At 47.4% G+C, this 14,390-nt stretch overlaps 1 pseudogene, besides 4 other annotated features; it reads right to left on the minus strand.

Annotated features, from left to right (window-relative positions):
* Window positions 1,818-2,016: a silencer, noted in NCBI's record as "fragment chr3:194274365-194274563 (GRCh37/hg19 assembly coordinates)". NCBI's record gives its function as "represses an EF-1alpha promoter that drives an FKBP-Casp9 reporter gene in an ReSE screen in K562 erythroleukemia cells {active_cell/tissue: K562}" and the evidence as "EXISTENCE:reporter gene assay evidence [ECO:0000049][PMID:32094911]".
* Window positions 4,420-4,919: an enhancer, noted in NCBI's record as "H3K27ac hESC enhancer chr3:194276967-194277466 (GRCh37/hg19 assembly coordinates)". NCBI's record gives its function as "activates a minimal SCP1, AML or CMV promoter by ChIP-STARR-seq in naive H9 embryonic stem cells {active_cell/tissue: H9 hESC(naive)}" and the evidence as "EXISTENCE:reporter gene assay evidence [ECO:0000049][PMID:30033119]".
* Window positions 4,420-5,143: a biological region, named in NCBI's record as "H3K27ac hESC enhancer GRCh37_chr3:194276967-194277466".
* Window positions 4,814-5,143: an enhancer, noted in NCBI's record as "active region_21028". NCBI's record gives its function as "activates an Ori minimal core promoter by ATAC-STARR-seq in GM12878 lymphoblastoid cells {active_cell/tissue: GM12878}" and the evidence as "EXISTENCE:reporter gene assay evidence [ECO:0000049][PMID:35858748]".
* RPL23AP93 (ribosomal protein L23a pseudogene 93) lies at window positions 11,109-12,194 on the minus strand (annotated as a pseudogene).

Here is a 14,390-nt window from a genome sequence, read left to right on the forward strand (position 1 = left end):
GGCACAGTGGCTCATGCCTGTAATCCCAGCACTTTTGGAGGCTGGGGCGGGAGGATCACTTGAGGCTAGCAGTTCCAGATGAGCCTGGCCAACATGGTGAAACCCCATCTCTTCTAAAAGTACAAAATTAGCTGGGCGTGGTGGCAGGTGCCTGTAATCCCAGCAACTCAGGAGGCTGAGGCAGGAGAATCGCTTGAACCCAGCAGGCGGAGGTTGGAGTGAGCCGAGATTGTGCCACAGCACTCCATCCAGGGCGACAGAGCAAGACTCCATCTCAAAAAAATAAAAGTAAAAAAATCAGCATCTCTGACCTCATACTTTACGCACACACACCCCAATGCCTCTTCTCCCATAGTCTTCGTTATCTCCATAAACTGAAACTCCTTCCAGCTGCTTAGGCTTCGAACCTTGAAGTCATCCTATATTCCTCTTGGTCCTTCACTTCGTAGATGTCATCAGCAAACCCCACTTGCCCTACCACCAAAATATATTCAGAATCCCTCTCATCTCCTTTCTCTTTACCATCCTAGAGCAAGACATCATAATCTCACTTCTGGAGTATTCTAGCAGCCTCCTAGCTGGCCTCCGTACAGTCCGGTGGATTCTCTCTGCCACTCAAAACCTGCACAGGTTCTTTTTCCCTGGCCCTGGCCCCAGCCCCCTCCCTCTGAGTTGCTCTCCCACCCACTGTCCCTTGCCCACTCTGCTGCGGCCACTCTGGCCCTTTCCTGATCCTTGAACAAGGTAAGCGCTCTCCAGCCTTCAGCGAGCTCACTCTTCCCACAGATATCTGTGTAGCTTGATCCCTTCGCTTTCTTCACACCTCTGTGGAAATGCCACCTCAAACTACCTAAAATGGCAATGCCCTCCTCCATTGCACTCTTGCCCCCTTATTCCGCCATATTTTTCTCCATTGCACTTAGCATGACTCAGCATATTATCTACTCATTAGTTTGTTTATTGCCTGTCATCCCTCTACTAGAATATAAAGTCAGGGAGGGCAAGATCTTCATTTTGCCTGCTGCTAAACCCCCAGTGCTTGGTATCTAGCAGATGCTCAATAAATATGTGTTAAGTGGGGGATTAAAAAGCCCTTAAGGGCCCAGGCACGGTGGCTCACACCTGTAATCCCAGCACTTTGAGAGGCCGAGGTGGGTGGATCACCTGAGGTCAGGAGTTCAAGACCTGCCTGACAAATACGGTGAAACCCCATCTCTACTAAAAACACAAAAATTAGGTGGGCATGGTGGCGCGTGCCTGTGGTCCCAGCTACTCTGGAGGCTGAGGCAAGAGAATCACTTGAACCTGGGAGGCAGAGGTTGCAGTGAGCCAAGATCACACCACTGCACTCCAGCCTGGGCAACAGAGCGAGACTCTGTCTCAAAAAAGAAAAGAAAAGAAGAAAAGCCCTTAGGGTTCATTCAGTGCAAATGTGTCACTTTATAGATAAAGATACCAAGACCAGAGAGGACAGCTGTCCAGATGAGGCCACTTAGATTAATAATGGTGCTGGAACAAGTGCCTGAGTGCCTTGACACCTGGCCAGCTCTGCTACACCGAGGCCTGGGTGAAGAATGCATTTAAGTAGATGCCCAGCATGCGTGTTCAGGTGTATCATACAACACTTAGCTTTCTCTCTATAATATACTCTGATGCTTATATTCCATCTATTTCATTTTTTGAAAAATGCTGACCACACTCAATTAAATTAATTTCATGTCCTATTAATGGGTTGTGACCCAAAGTTGGGAAACAGAACACTAAGGCCAGGCGCAGTGGCTCATGCCTGTAATCCCAGCACTTTGGGAGGCCGAGGCGGGCGGATCACCGGAGGTCCGGAGTTTGATACCAGCCTGACCAACATGGTGAAACCCCATCTCTACTAAAAATACAAAAAAAAAAAAAAAAAAAAAAGAATTATCCTGGCGTGGTAGCAGACGCCTATAATCCCAGCTACTTGGGAGGCTGAAGCAGGAGAATGTCTTGAACCTGGGAGGTGGAGGTTGCGGTGAGCAGAGATTGCGCCACTGCACTGCAGCCTGGGTGACAAGAGCAAAACTCCATCTCAAAAAACAAAAAAAAGGAAAAGAAAGAAAAAAAAAAAGAAAAGAGCACAGTATATAACAGAGTGAAAAAAAAATATTGGCTGGGTGCAGTGGCTCACACCTATGATCACAGAACTTTGGGAGGCGAAGGTGGGCGGATCACCTGAGGTCAGGAGTTCGAGACCAGCCTGACCAATATGGTGAAACTCCGTCTCTACAAAAATACAAAAATTAGCTGGGCATGATGGTGGGTGCCTGTAATCCCAGCTACTGGGGAGGCTGAGGCGGGAGAATTGCTTGAACCCAGGAGGTGGAGGTTGCAGTGAGCCGATATCGCACCATTGCATTCCAGCCTGGGCGACAGAGTGAGACTCCATCTCAAAAAGAAAAAAAAAAAGAAAGAAAAAAATTCTGTACCTTTTTTAAGTACTAAGATGCATGGCTAATGCACGAAAACATTTGAAAAGTGCTAGAGTAAAATGATCTATTAACAGTAATAACTACAGTGAACTCAAGTATGCAGAGAAATAAAAAAATATCCAAGGCCTGGTTTCTTGGCCCTCGTCTCTCATGTATGTTAATCTTGAAGCATCATCTTCTCCTGGCTCCATTCTATCTCTGTCGACAGTCCTGAATTTCATGCCATTCCATATCATATTCATTTTCTTGGTTTTGTGACTTGTTTTCTGCACCAACTCATGCTTATAAATTGCCGCTCTGTACTTGCAGTCAGAACGCTGCATTCCAAAAGGAGGCAGGAGGCATGGCAAGGGTTTCCACATAGCTGACTTTGTTTTGACAGTGATGGTATCTGATGGAGTGGGAGCTGATGGCAGCCCAACGCCCAGTCTCTTTGTCCACACCAACTATTCATAGCTGGCGAAGGCGGGGAGGTACACATCAGTGTGGGGGTGAGAGACCTAGAGGCTGGTCAAATAGAGGACGGGGAATATGTGGTTATGCAGGGCACGGAGGTCAGGGTCATGTTAAAAATCAAGTATTTAACATATTGGCTGAGGCACAATAACTCTAGTCTAAATTTATCCCACTCTTCCAACTCTCTCAGGACTGACAGAGCAGCTAGTGTTACCACTCGGGAAAAAGTCAGAGCAGGGTCTAAATTTGTATCTAAAAGAAATCTCAGATGCAAGATTCAGAGAATTCCACCAGGCTCCTTCAGATGTCCTGAAAGATGCTCTGGGTAACCCGATATTGTTGGAGGACAAAACAGTTATATAAATCTAAGATAGGGTCACCTTCTTCGTTATCACTGCTGTCATCATCAACCTGGCTGGGAATTTCACTGCCAGTATACCACAGGGTCCAGGCCATTCAGACTCCCCCTGTCATGGGATAACCAGACTCCCGAGCTGGTTATTCTCCATGTGCCTCCCCTGTCCACTGCCTCTCCTGCCCTCTGTGTTTTCTATAACTGCATCACCAGAGTCCCTGTTCCCTTGGCTTCCTGTTGGGTTTGTCTAATGGGAGGCGCTGGCAAGAGATTGGAGGTTGACACATTTATTCCCTGCTCCATCCCACCCCCATCCGCGCTGGCTCAACCCTGCTTTCCTGCTGTTACATTCTTCTATGGCTCTGGCTTCTGTGGGAAGGTCCGTCTCCCATAACTCTGCTCACAACATTTCCTCCTTTGCCCCTTCAGGCCTGGTCCCCGGCCCTGGGCACCTCACCATTCTTTGTTGGTTCCTTGCCTCTGGCTACACGTTTGTGAACAGTCTCTGCTTCAAGCTTTTTTCCCCCTGTGCAAACACTTCCGGGTGTGCATCTGTTGCCTGCTGGTACCCTGACGGATGTAACTTGGTCTCACATCTATGGATGTTCAGGCCTCGCTCACAGCTGGATCTCACAGAGGCAGGACACCGTGCTGCCTTGAAATCGGAGCCCTGGCACAGGCCACTGGGTCTCTCCCTCTACCCATTCAGATCATGCACTTTTTGAGTGGCTGCAAGCAGCTGATGAGCTTAAGAAGTCTCTTATTTTGATGATGCAATTCTAGGTAGGATCAGGTGGGGCTGAAGCTCACAGCAGTAACCCCAGAAAGTCTTCCAGGCCTCACTCCTTTCCAAGAGCTCAGGAGATGCAGAAATGAGGTGGTTCAAGCTTGTCCCTAAGGGGACATAGACTCTCGTGCCTGGAAAAGCATTAAAGGTCACGCAGGCCAGCCCATTCCGTTTGTAGCTCAGGAAGCCGAGGCCCAGGAAGAAGAGACTCCCGTGGGGTCAGAGGGTAAGGTAGTGGGAGAGAGAGGATAAGAATCCAGAGCCCCTGAACATTCATCCTCAAATCTTCATGCTGGAAGGAGTATTAAAGGGCACACTGACCCCAATAAACAACAAGCCACCTGCAGTACAGGGTTTTGCCATCTACAAGGGGGGACTGCCAGAGCCTCAGTTGTCCCTGGTGTCCCCCAAACCCTAAGCCTAGCCAGGGACTCTCCAGACAAAACAGCATGGTGTGATTTGGAGTGAGGAGGCACCCTAGGGAACTCCTTTCTACTCACAGAGACTAACACCTCCTGACTCCTACAGTGACCAGCTCCCTCCTGACGGGTCAGCTTCCTGAATGGCCACACAAGGCCTGGGCTGCAGGGCCCCTCCTGTGCTCCCTAGCAATGGCCGTGTGATGAATTTTTACCAACAGAAGCAAACAGAAGTTACGGCTCACTTCCGGTTTGTGGTGGTGAAGGAAAAGCTTTGCTTTCTCTTCTGTCCACCTGGCTGGAAGCAAAGGATTCCAAGATGGTGAAGACACACATGAGCACAGCCAGGATGCCCAGTTTGGAAGACAGCTGTGTCAGAGTGCCGCCCCCACCAGCTCCACCCACATCCGACCTTGAAATGAAAGAGAAATAAATAAGTTTTTGTTGTGTCCAGAACCGCGATCGGGAGTGGGAAGGGCAGGCTACAGCCGGTGCCAACAACCCTGGTTAACACAGATATTGTGTCACTGTCCAGGTGACCCCCATTTCCCACCCATGACTCAGCTCTTCTTTTCAGACACATCTTGCAGCTCCATCTTTCTCACCCCTCCTCCCATCCTGCCCTGTCATAGGTGTCTAATGCCACCGTGCCTCTCCTCTGCCCTCTCCTCTCTTCCCTCAACATCTTTCCTCATTGTGTACCACCCGAACTACTCAAATGGCCCCTTCTCCCCTTGAAAGTGCCTTTTCCATTCTGCCAGAACCGTTTCTTTTTTTTTTCTTGCCTATGTAAGTATGAACTTTATTATTGTTTGTTTTGACTGTTTATATATATATATATATTTTTTTTTTATTATTATACTTTAAGTTCTAGGGTCCATGTGCATCATGTGCAGGTGTGTTACATGTGTATACATGTGCTGTGTTGGTGTGCTGCCCCCATTAACTCGTCATTTACATTAGGTATATCTCCTAATGCTATCTCTCACCCCTCCCCCCACCCGTTTCTTTAAAGGGCCCTCTGACCCTCTTCAGTCACCCAAACAACACACCTAGACCTTCCCCTGGAATTGTCTGGATCTCACAGTCATTGCTGGGTCCCTTAAAGCAAAGCTGCTGGTGAATAACAATATATAACAATATTCTCTTTGGGTTTGCAAATGCCCAAAGAAGTCTCTGTTATCACCTTTATTGTTTAAGAGGGACAATAATTTAAGAGGACTATTTACATGTTTTTGATAATAACAACAATAATAGCAATGACAGGAATGATAACCCAGCCTTTTTTTTTTTTTTTTTTCCCATTGTAGAAACTTCCAGTCATTCACCCTATCAATCCCTGAAAAGAGTTCTTCCTCCCTCACTCTTCCCTTCTGGGACATGACCTGGGTTTCTGCGTCTAATCTCTGAGATGCTGGGGTGGTACATCACATGGATTTTTTTTTTTAATTGCATCAGGCCATAGGGGATTTTTTTTTTTTCTTTTTCGACTGAGAAGACAATGAAATTTATGTTCTTTCCCACCCTCCTGAAGGAAGAAACATTTCAGGGGGCACCACACCTAAACATCCCGGGCGCTTCCAGCAAATCTCAGTACATGGTGAGATGCAGGAGGGAAATCACGCAGCTGAGACCTATGGTACTCCAGGAGGTTTTCGGTGACATTAGCCCAGGATTTTATCCATGTTTCTCTTGACTTGCTCCTGACTTTTTTTTTTTTCTTTTTTTTTTGACAGAGTCTCATTCTTGCCCAGGCCAGAGTGCAGTGGCGTGATCTTGACTCACTGCAACCTCTGCCCCCCCGGGTTTAAGTGATTCTCCTGCCTCAGCCTCCCAAGTAGCTGGGATTACAGGAGCACACCACCACCATGCCCAGCTAATTTTTGTATTTTTAATAGTGACGGGGTTTCACCATGTTGGCCAGGCTGGTCTCAAACTCCTGACCTCATGATCCACCCGCCTCAGCCTCTCAAAGTGCTGGAATTACAGGGGTGAGCCACCATGCCCGGCCACATATAGATTTTTATAGTTAGAAATTGTCCTGTTTAATTAATGGTGTGCTCAAATAAATATACAATCATTGCATATTCATTAATCGTCTTTCTCTCCCACCAGAATATGAACTCCATGACAGCAGGAATTGCATCTACTTTACTCCCTGCTGTCTCCCCAGGACCTATACAGAACTCAACCATCATTTGTCGAGTGAATAAATGAACAAGTGAATAAGAAAAGTAGATATGGGCCAGGCGCAGTGGCTCACGCCTGTAATCCCAGCACTTTGGGAGGCCGAGGTAGGTGGATCACCAGGTCAGGAGATTGAGACCATCCTGGCTAACATGGTGAAACCCTATATCTACTAAAAATACAAAAATTTTGCCAGGCATGGTGGCGGGTGCCTGTAATCCCAGCTACTCAGGAGGCTGAGGCAGGAGAATCGTTTGAACCTGGGAGGTGGAGGTTGCAGTGTGAGCCGAGATTGTGCCACTGCATTCCAGCCTGGGCAACAGAGTGAGACTCTGTCTCAAAAAAAAAAAAAAAAAAAGATATGGATGGGCTCTTTTTAAAAATAGGGCCCTAAGGTGTGATTTTTTTTTCTTTTTGAGATGGAGTCTTGCTCTGTTGCCCAGGCTGGAGTGCAGTGGCGCAATCTTGGCTCACTGCAACCTCCGCCTCCAGGGTTAAAGTGATTCTCCTACCTCAGCCTCCCAAGTAGCTGGGACTACAGGTGCCTGCCACCACACCTGGCCTTTTTTTTTTTTTTTTTTTTGTATTTTTAGTAGAGATGGGGTTTCACCATGTTGGCCAGGATGGTCTCGATCTCTTGACCTCGTGATCCACCCACCTCGGCCTCCCAAAGTGCTGGGATTACAGGCGTGAGCCACCGCGCCCGGTCTATGGTGTGATTTTTTACCCTCTCTATCTGCAGGAAAAGCTATGAGTCCCCAGGTGCACAGAGTATTGCCAGATAGAAGAAGGACTCTGCAGGAGAATGGCTAGGGGTTCACTTTAGCCACAGAGCAGTTTCTGACTTACGACTCACCTGACTTTCCTTTGCCCCCACTGTCACCTGAAGGGTGTATATTACCCTAGTGGTGGGATGGACGATGCATCCAGCCATCATTCAGATCACCAAACTAACTCCCCTTCCTGGATTCTAGGCTTACCATTAACCTTCTGATTGTGATTTTGGCTTCCCATGCTGATTTCCACAGCAAGAGAGAGCAGGCTGGTCAGGCTGACTCAAACGCCTGCTTCTCCCAGCATTTATACATTTCATTATAAACTCATCGCTGGACATTCTGCTCTGTCCCCTCCAGTCTCCTCTGAGTGAGTCTGCTTTGGGAGTCCCATTGACTATGGGGTGCTGAACCTACAAGGCCAGACTCTGAACAGTGGCTACGTCTGTCACAAGTTGCTGCCCCGTGAAGGTTCTCAGCAGTGGGCCAGCTGGTCCTTCCCAGGCACCTGCCAGCATTGCTGCAAGATTTGTTCCACATTTTCCCACAGATGTAGTAATGCCACTTAAAGGAGTTTATATGGAGGAGATAATTGGATACATATGTAAAGACGTATGTCAAAAAGGTATTCACTGTGGTATTGTCACCTCCCCTCAGCTGCAGGTATTGGTGGTGGCACTTTTATATCCCAGGATGTCCTCAGAGTTTGGGTGCCAGAGCCCCTCAGTCTCCACCTTCCATAGCACCAGTGGGGATTAATTGATGGTGTGGTCTCTCACTGTACGTGTAAGGGGAAGCATTGGTGACGGAGTAGCAGTTGCCTTGGTGAACTGCCGAAGCCCCGAAGTGGGTAAAGCTTTGGCTTTCACTAGTGAGTATCAGGCAGCTGTGTCTCTTCCTGGAGCCACAGGTGGAGTTCTGGTTGCAGAGCAGCAACTGGCCTGGGCAAGCTGGACCTTGGACCAGGGGCTGGTCCAGTCTTCAATTCTGGCTCTTTCCACAGGTAGGTTAGCCGGGGCAGGGTCGCAAGCTGACCCGGAAGTCAGCCAGGGTCAGGCCGGGCTCCAGGCACTGACATATCCTTGAGGTCTTCCCCTGGAGCATGGCAGCTTCTCCAGCAGCACCAATGGCCCCTTTATATTCTTTTATCCTGGAGGAGAACCACAAAGCCTCCCACCCACCTGCCCATTCTCCAGAGACCTTAGCCCCGCAATCACCCGCAAACACTTAACTACTTTGGAGGAAGCAAAGTGCTTTTAGTTTCCAAAGTTAATTCACATTCCCAAGGGTGGCCAAGATGACCTCTTTCCCTAAAGCAAGAACTAACCCCCCAAGTTAGTAAAAAACTGAGAACACCTAATCGATCAATCAATCAGAGTGTGGTTGACTATATGAAGATCTCTTCATACAATGTCTACTATGCAGCCATTAAAATGAAATTGTGGGTCTATACAAATGATTTAGTGTAGGGCCAGGCACAGTGGCTTATGCTTGTAATCCCAGCACTTTGGGAGGCCAAGGCAGGTGGATCATTTGAGGTCAGGAGCTTGAGACTAGCCTGGCCAACATGGTGAAACCCCATCTCTACTAAAAATACAAAAATTAGCCGGGTGTGGTGGCACACGCCTGTAATCCCAGCTACTCCAGAGGCTGAGGCAGGAGAATCGCTTGAACCCGGGAGGTGGAGGTTGCAGTGAGCCGAGATCATGCCACTGCACTCCAGCCTGCACAATAAGAGCGAAACTCTGTCTCAAAAATAAATAAATAAATAAATAAATAAATAGTTTAGTGTAAAGAAGAATATGACAAACTGCCTTTGTACTCTGGTCCAAACTTTGCCAAAATATGGATGCGTGAGTGCAAACGTGTGCCTGGAGAAAACGGAATGGCAGTCATCAAAATGCTCGCAGTGGTTATCTCTGGGCAGTGAGATTTCTGGTAAGTCTTCTTTATACTTCTCTGTACTATTTGAAGTTTCACAATAAGCATGTTTATCTTATCATCAGAAAAAAACTTTTTTTTTTTAATTTTGGAAGAAAAAACTTCCATTCAATTTGGTGTGCTCTAATGTGCAAAATACTGGAGTAGTGGCCAGGACAAAGTCCTATAGAAGCCAAGTGGAGAGTGGCATTGACCTTGCTGACACTGTGCGGCCAGCACGCCCTGGATCCGATAGCCTCTGCGGTAGGCCTTCCTATTTCAAGAGTCTACGATTCTAAGACGCCAAATGGTATCTCCAGATCAAAACTATTTATAAGAATCATTTCCTTCAGGATGAGTTGTAACTTCCACTTGCTACTTGTATGTTTCGATGACATCATCTCTGAGATTTATGTGAAATGACTCCTTCTCCTTGATGTTATCAAGGAGTTTGAGCAGTTGAGTTCCTTATAGTTCTTTGTGTTTAAACCATATCTGAAGAAGCTGTCATTTGTCAAGGTTTAATTGTTTCCATTATTTTTTTCCTGGTAAGTTTCCAGATATTGCTGGGCAGCTTTGATAAAGAGACCTGAAAAGAAGATGTTAAGAAATGGATGGAGCATGGCTGCAAGTTCCAGGTTCTAGCCCACATCTACTTTTTAGCTGTGTCATCTGGAGTTAGTCATTTCTTTCTGGGTATTTTCTCACTTAAAATTGGAGGGGAGGGTAAGAGGGACATTAGACAAGATTATTTTAAAGATCTTTCTGGGTATTTTCTCACATAAAATTGGAGGGGAGGGTAAGAGGGACATTAGACAAGATTATTTTAAAGATCCTGTCCTGGCCGGGTGCGGTGGCTCATGCCTGTAATCACAGCTCTTAGGGAGGCAGAGGTGGGAGGATAGCTTGAGCCCAGGAGTTCAAGACCTGCCTGTGCAATATAGTGAGACCTCCTTCTTAAAAAAAAAAACAAAAACAAAAACAAAACTTGTCCAGCTCTGTCTCCCTATGATGAGTTTTAGTTCTGAGCTTATAATAGCATATTTTATAGTCCTAGTGCCAAATATTCTTAAAGTTATCTTCATATCTAAGTCTTTCAATAAATAGAAAAGTATATTGTTGACTACGGCCTTAGAGGTCACTGCTTGAATCCTTCCCATGCCACCCTTGCTAGGTGGTCACCTTGTGTCAACTAACACCTACGGGGACAAGAAACCCCCTCCCTCCCGAGGTAGCCCATTTCTCTTTATTGGTAAAGAGCATTTAAAAGGTGTTTCTTGGCCGGGCACAGTGGCTCATGCCTATAATCCCAGCACTTTGGGAGGCCGAGGTGGGTGGATCACGAGATCAGGAGATCGAAACCAAACCCCGTCTCTACTAAAAACACAAAAAATTAGCCGGGCATGGTGGTGGGCGCCTGTAGTCCCAGCTACTCGGGAGGCTGAGGCAGGAGAATCGCTTGAACCTGGGAGGTGGAGCTTGCAGTGAGCTGAGATTGCACCACTGCACCCCAGCCTGGGTGACAGAACGAGACTCCATCTCAAAAAAAAAGGTGTTTCTTGGGAGAGCTGAAATCTGCAACCTTCTAACTTCCATTTACTGTCTGCTCTCCCGATCACTTTGCAGAGGACGCTTTTCTTTTGTCCCCTTCCCTGCACCCTTTGCAGCCTCAGAGAAGGTGTTTCTAATTCCCTGATGTTGGAGAAGGAGGTTTTCCCTTTTCTATTTTGTTTTATTTGTATTTTTTCTGGTGAAAAGATACATATATACCTTTAGAATTAGCAAGCTGGACTCAGATTAGATGATCCCAATTTTGTTGGCAACATCCAAAGCATGGTCATCAGGAGCCAGTGGACACATGCCTTCTTCTCTCCATCAGGTCGACTCAGTGTTGGCCTTGGCCACACCAATGTCATGGAGCTTGCTCCCTTCTTCTCTCCATCAGGTCGACTCAGTGTTGGCCTTGGCCACATTGATGTCATGGAGCTCCCTCCCTTCTTCTCTCCATCAGGTTGACTCAGTGTTGACCTTGGCCACACAGATGTCATGGAACTCCTTCATAGCCTGTTCCATCTGGTGCTTGTTGGCTTTAACATCCACAGTGAACACAAGTGTGTTGCCTTCTGTCTTCATGGCTGCTTCTCCAGCAGTGCCAATGGCCCCCCTCCCTTTTTTTTTTGGAGATGGAGTCTCACTCTGTTGCCAGGCTGGAGTGCTATGGCATGATCTTGGCTCACTGCAACCTCTGCCTCCCAGGTTCAAGCAATTCTCCTGCCTCAGCCTCCTGAGTAGCTGGGACTACAGGTATGCACCACCATGCCCGGCTAATTTTGTATTTTTAATAAAGACGGGGTTTCACCATGTTGGCCAGGCTGGTCTTGAACTCCTGACCTCAGGTGATGCCCCCGCCTCGGCCTCCCAAAGTGCTGGGATTACAGGCATGAGCCACCGTACCCAGCCACCAATGGCCCTTTTATACTTTTTGTTCTTGGATGAGAACCACAAAGCCTCCCACGCACCTGCTCATTCTCCAGAGACCTTAGTCCTGCAATCTCCTCATGGTCAGTGGGAACTTGAGGCTGGCATAGTGGTCAAACTTGTTTCTTCTGAGGGCACTCTTCCAAGGATATTTGGGCTACCTGTGGTGTCGCAGTGTCTTGGGCCACCAGATGTGGATGACTGGTCTCTGGGGAATGGGCAGGTGCGATGGAGGCTTTGTCCTGTGGACACCTTTCAGCACTGCCTTCTTGGCCCTTAAAGTCTTCACTTTGGCTTTGGCTTGAGGAGGGGCAGGAGCTTCCTTCTTCGCCTTGAGTGCCATCTTGTGAAAAGTTCTTTCCTATTTTAGACTTCAGCACCTGAACAAGAGTGGGCAGATATGTACTCCAAGCTCCAATGATGACCGTGAACCCTACAGAGTTGGAAGTGTGGAAAGCGAGGCATTGTGTCCCTTGTCTGAGACTTTGTCCTTTTGCCCTCAGCAAAAGTCTGGACCTCACTGAGCTGCCCTACAACCATGTGACTGTCCCTTCCTTTTCTAATGCTGGCCTTTCTCCCTTCTCATATTCCCCCTTTCTTCTGTAGCCCTAGTGGGGTCCCTGCATCTCCCAACTCCATTTTTCTGAGTCACCAACACTCTTATCAGAAATATCCTGGCCCTAGTTCTCTCTTGTCCCTATAAATTGTGCAGCCTCCAGCATCTCTCTCTGCTGTCCTCACTTTCTGTCACTGGGTACAGAGAAGAGGTAGCTCTGAGACCCAAGAGTGGACATAAAGGACATTCAGGATAAAAGGGACTCCCATTTCAAAGTGCAGTTTGCTCTCCCCCAAATATGTTAGCAAAAAAATTAGACCCATCTTGCACCTCAAGGATTAGTTAACTTTCAAAGGGGCTACATAAGTACTTCGCATTCCTTTTGTCAACACAGCTTTAATCTTTCACTTTGTAGAACAGAGGTCCCGCTGCCTTCTCAACCCTAGGTCTTTATCACAATGTGCTTTTCCATTAACTCGGGGAAATTATGCTCACATGTTCCTGCCTAATTCTTGGGTTCCTACAGTGGATGGGAAGGTAGGAAATGGGAGAGGCTTTGAAGAGAAAGGTTTTTATGTTTGCAGCAGCCAGGGTTCAACTACAGAAACAGAGCAAGTAGGATATGTATGCTGATATATGAAGAGGTTCCATGCAAGGAATTGGTTTATGCAATGGTGGGGGATGGCTAGGTAAGTCTGAAAGCCCCAGGGCAGTCCATCAGGAAGGACATGCAAGTTCTCAGGTGGAATTTCTTTTTCCTCAGGGAAACCTCAGCCCTGCTCTTAAGATCTTTCACCCGGCGGCTCACGCCTGTAATCCCAGCACTTTGGAGGCGAGCAGATCACTTGAGCCCAGGAGTTCAAGACCAGCCTGGGCAACATGGTGAAACACTATCTCTATAAAAAATGCAAAAAAAGGCCGGGCACAGTGGCTCACGCCTGTAATCCCAGCACTTTGGGAGGCCAAGGCAGGTGGATCATGAGGTCAGGAGATCGAGACCAACCTGGCTAACAAGGTGAAACCCCGTCTCTACTAAAAAAATGAAAAAATTAGCCGGTCGTGGTGGCGGACGCCTGTAGTCCCAGCTACTTGGGAGACTGAGGCAGGAGAATGGCATGAACCCAGGAGGCTGAGCTTGCAGTGAGCCAAGATCACACCACTGCACTCCAGCCTGGGCAACAGAGCGAAACTCCATCTGGAAAAAAAAAAAAAAAAATTAGCCTGGCATGGTGGCGCGCACCAGTAGTCCCAGCCACCAGGAAGCCCGAGGCAGGGGATCACCTGGGCCCGAGAGGTGGAGGCTGCAGTGAGCTGTGATTGTGCCACTGCACTCCAGCCTGGGTGACAGAGTGAAACTCTATCTGAAAAGAAAAACAAAAACAAAAAACCCTTCACCTATTTGAATTATCTGATGATTTAGGATAACCGTTCTTACCCAAAGTCAGTGATTACGGGCTTTAGTCACTTCTATAAAATACGGTACCTTCACAGCAACATCTGGATTCGTGTTTGAGTAAATAATTGGGGAATGTAGCCTAACCAAGTTAACACATAAAAAAGACCATCACATTCCTCAAATACTTATCTTGGAACTTTGGGAGGGACTCATCCCACATATGCACTTATTTCTTCTTTCTGTTTCTTATAAGAAGGACTGCTAGAAAATGTGCCCTTCTAAACAAGCTTTTTAGAAATGTCTGTATTGTTTGCTTAGGATAGTAAAACCCCTTTTTGCCTGTTCATACAGAGGCATGAGGAGCCTCAAGTGGTTGAGGGTCAGTCTTAATTCCAATTCAGTGGAATCATTGCTGTGTTTCCTGGTGGAAGCATTCCTCCCTTTAAGCCTAAGACTCTAGACCAGCAGAACCTAAGGTCACAAGAAAAGGAGGCAGACGTTTTGCTAGTGGATCATTACAGGCAACGGCGAGTGGGGTCATTCCCATTTCCACCCCTCGAATCCTGGATTCGTGAATTCTGGCTATGGAAGAAACAGT

Source organism: Homo sapiens, chromosome 3, assembly GCF_000001405.40.
Source record: "Homo sapiens chromosome 3, GRCh38.p14 Primary Assembly".
Lineage (NCBI taxonomy): Eukaryota > Metazoa > Chordata > Mammalia > Primates > Hominidae > Homo > Homo sapiens.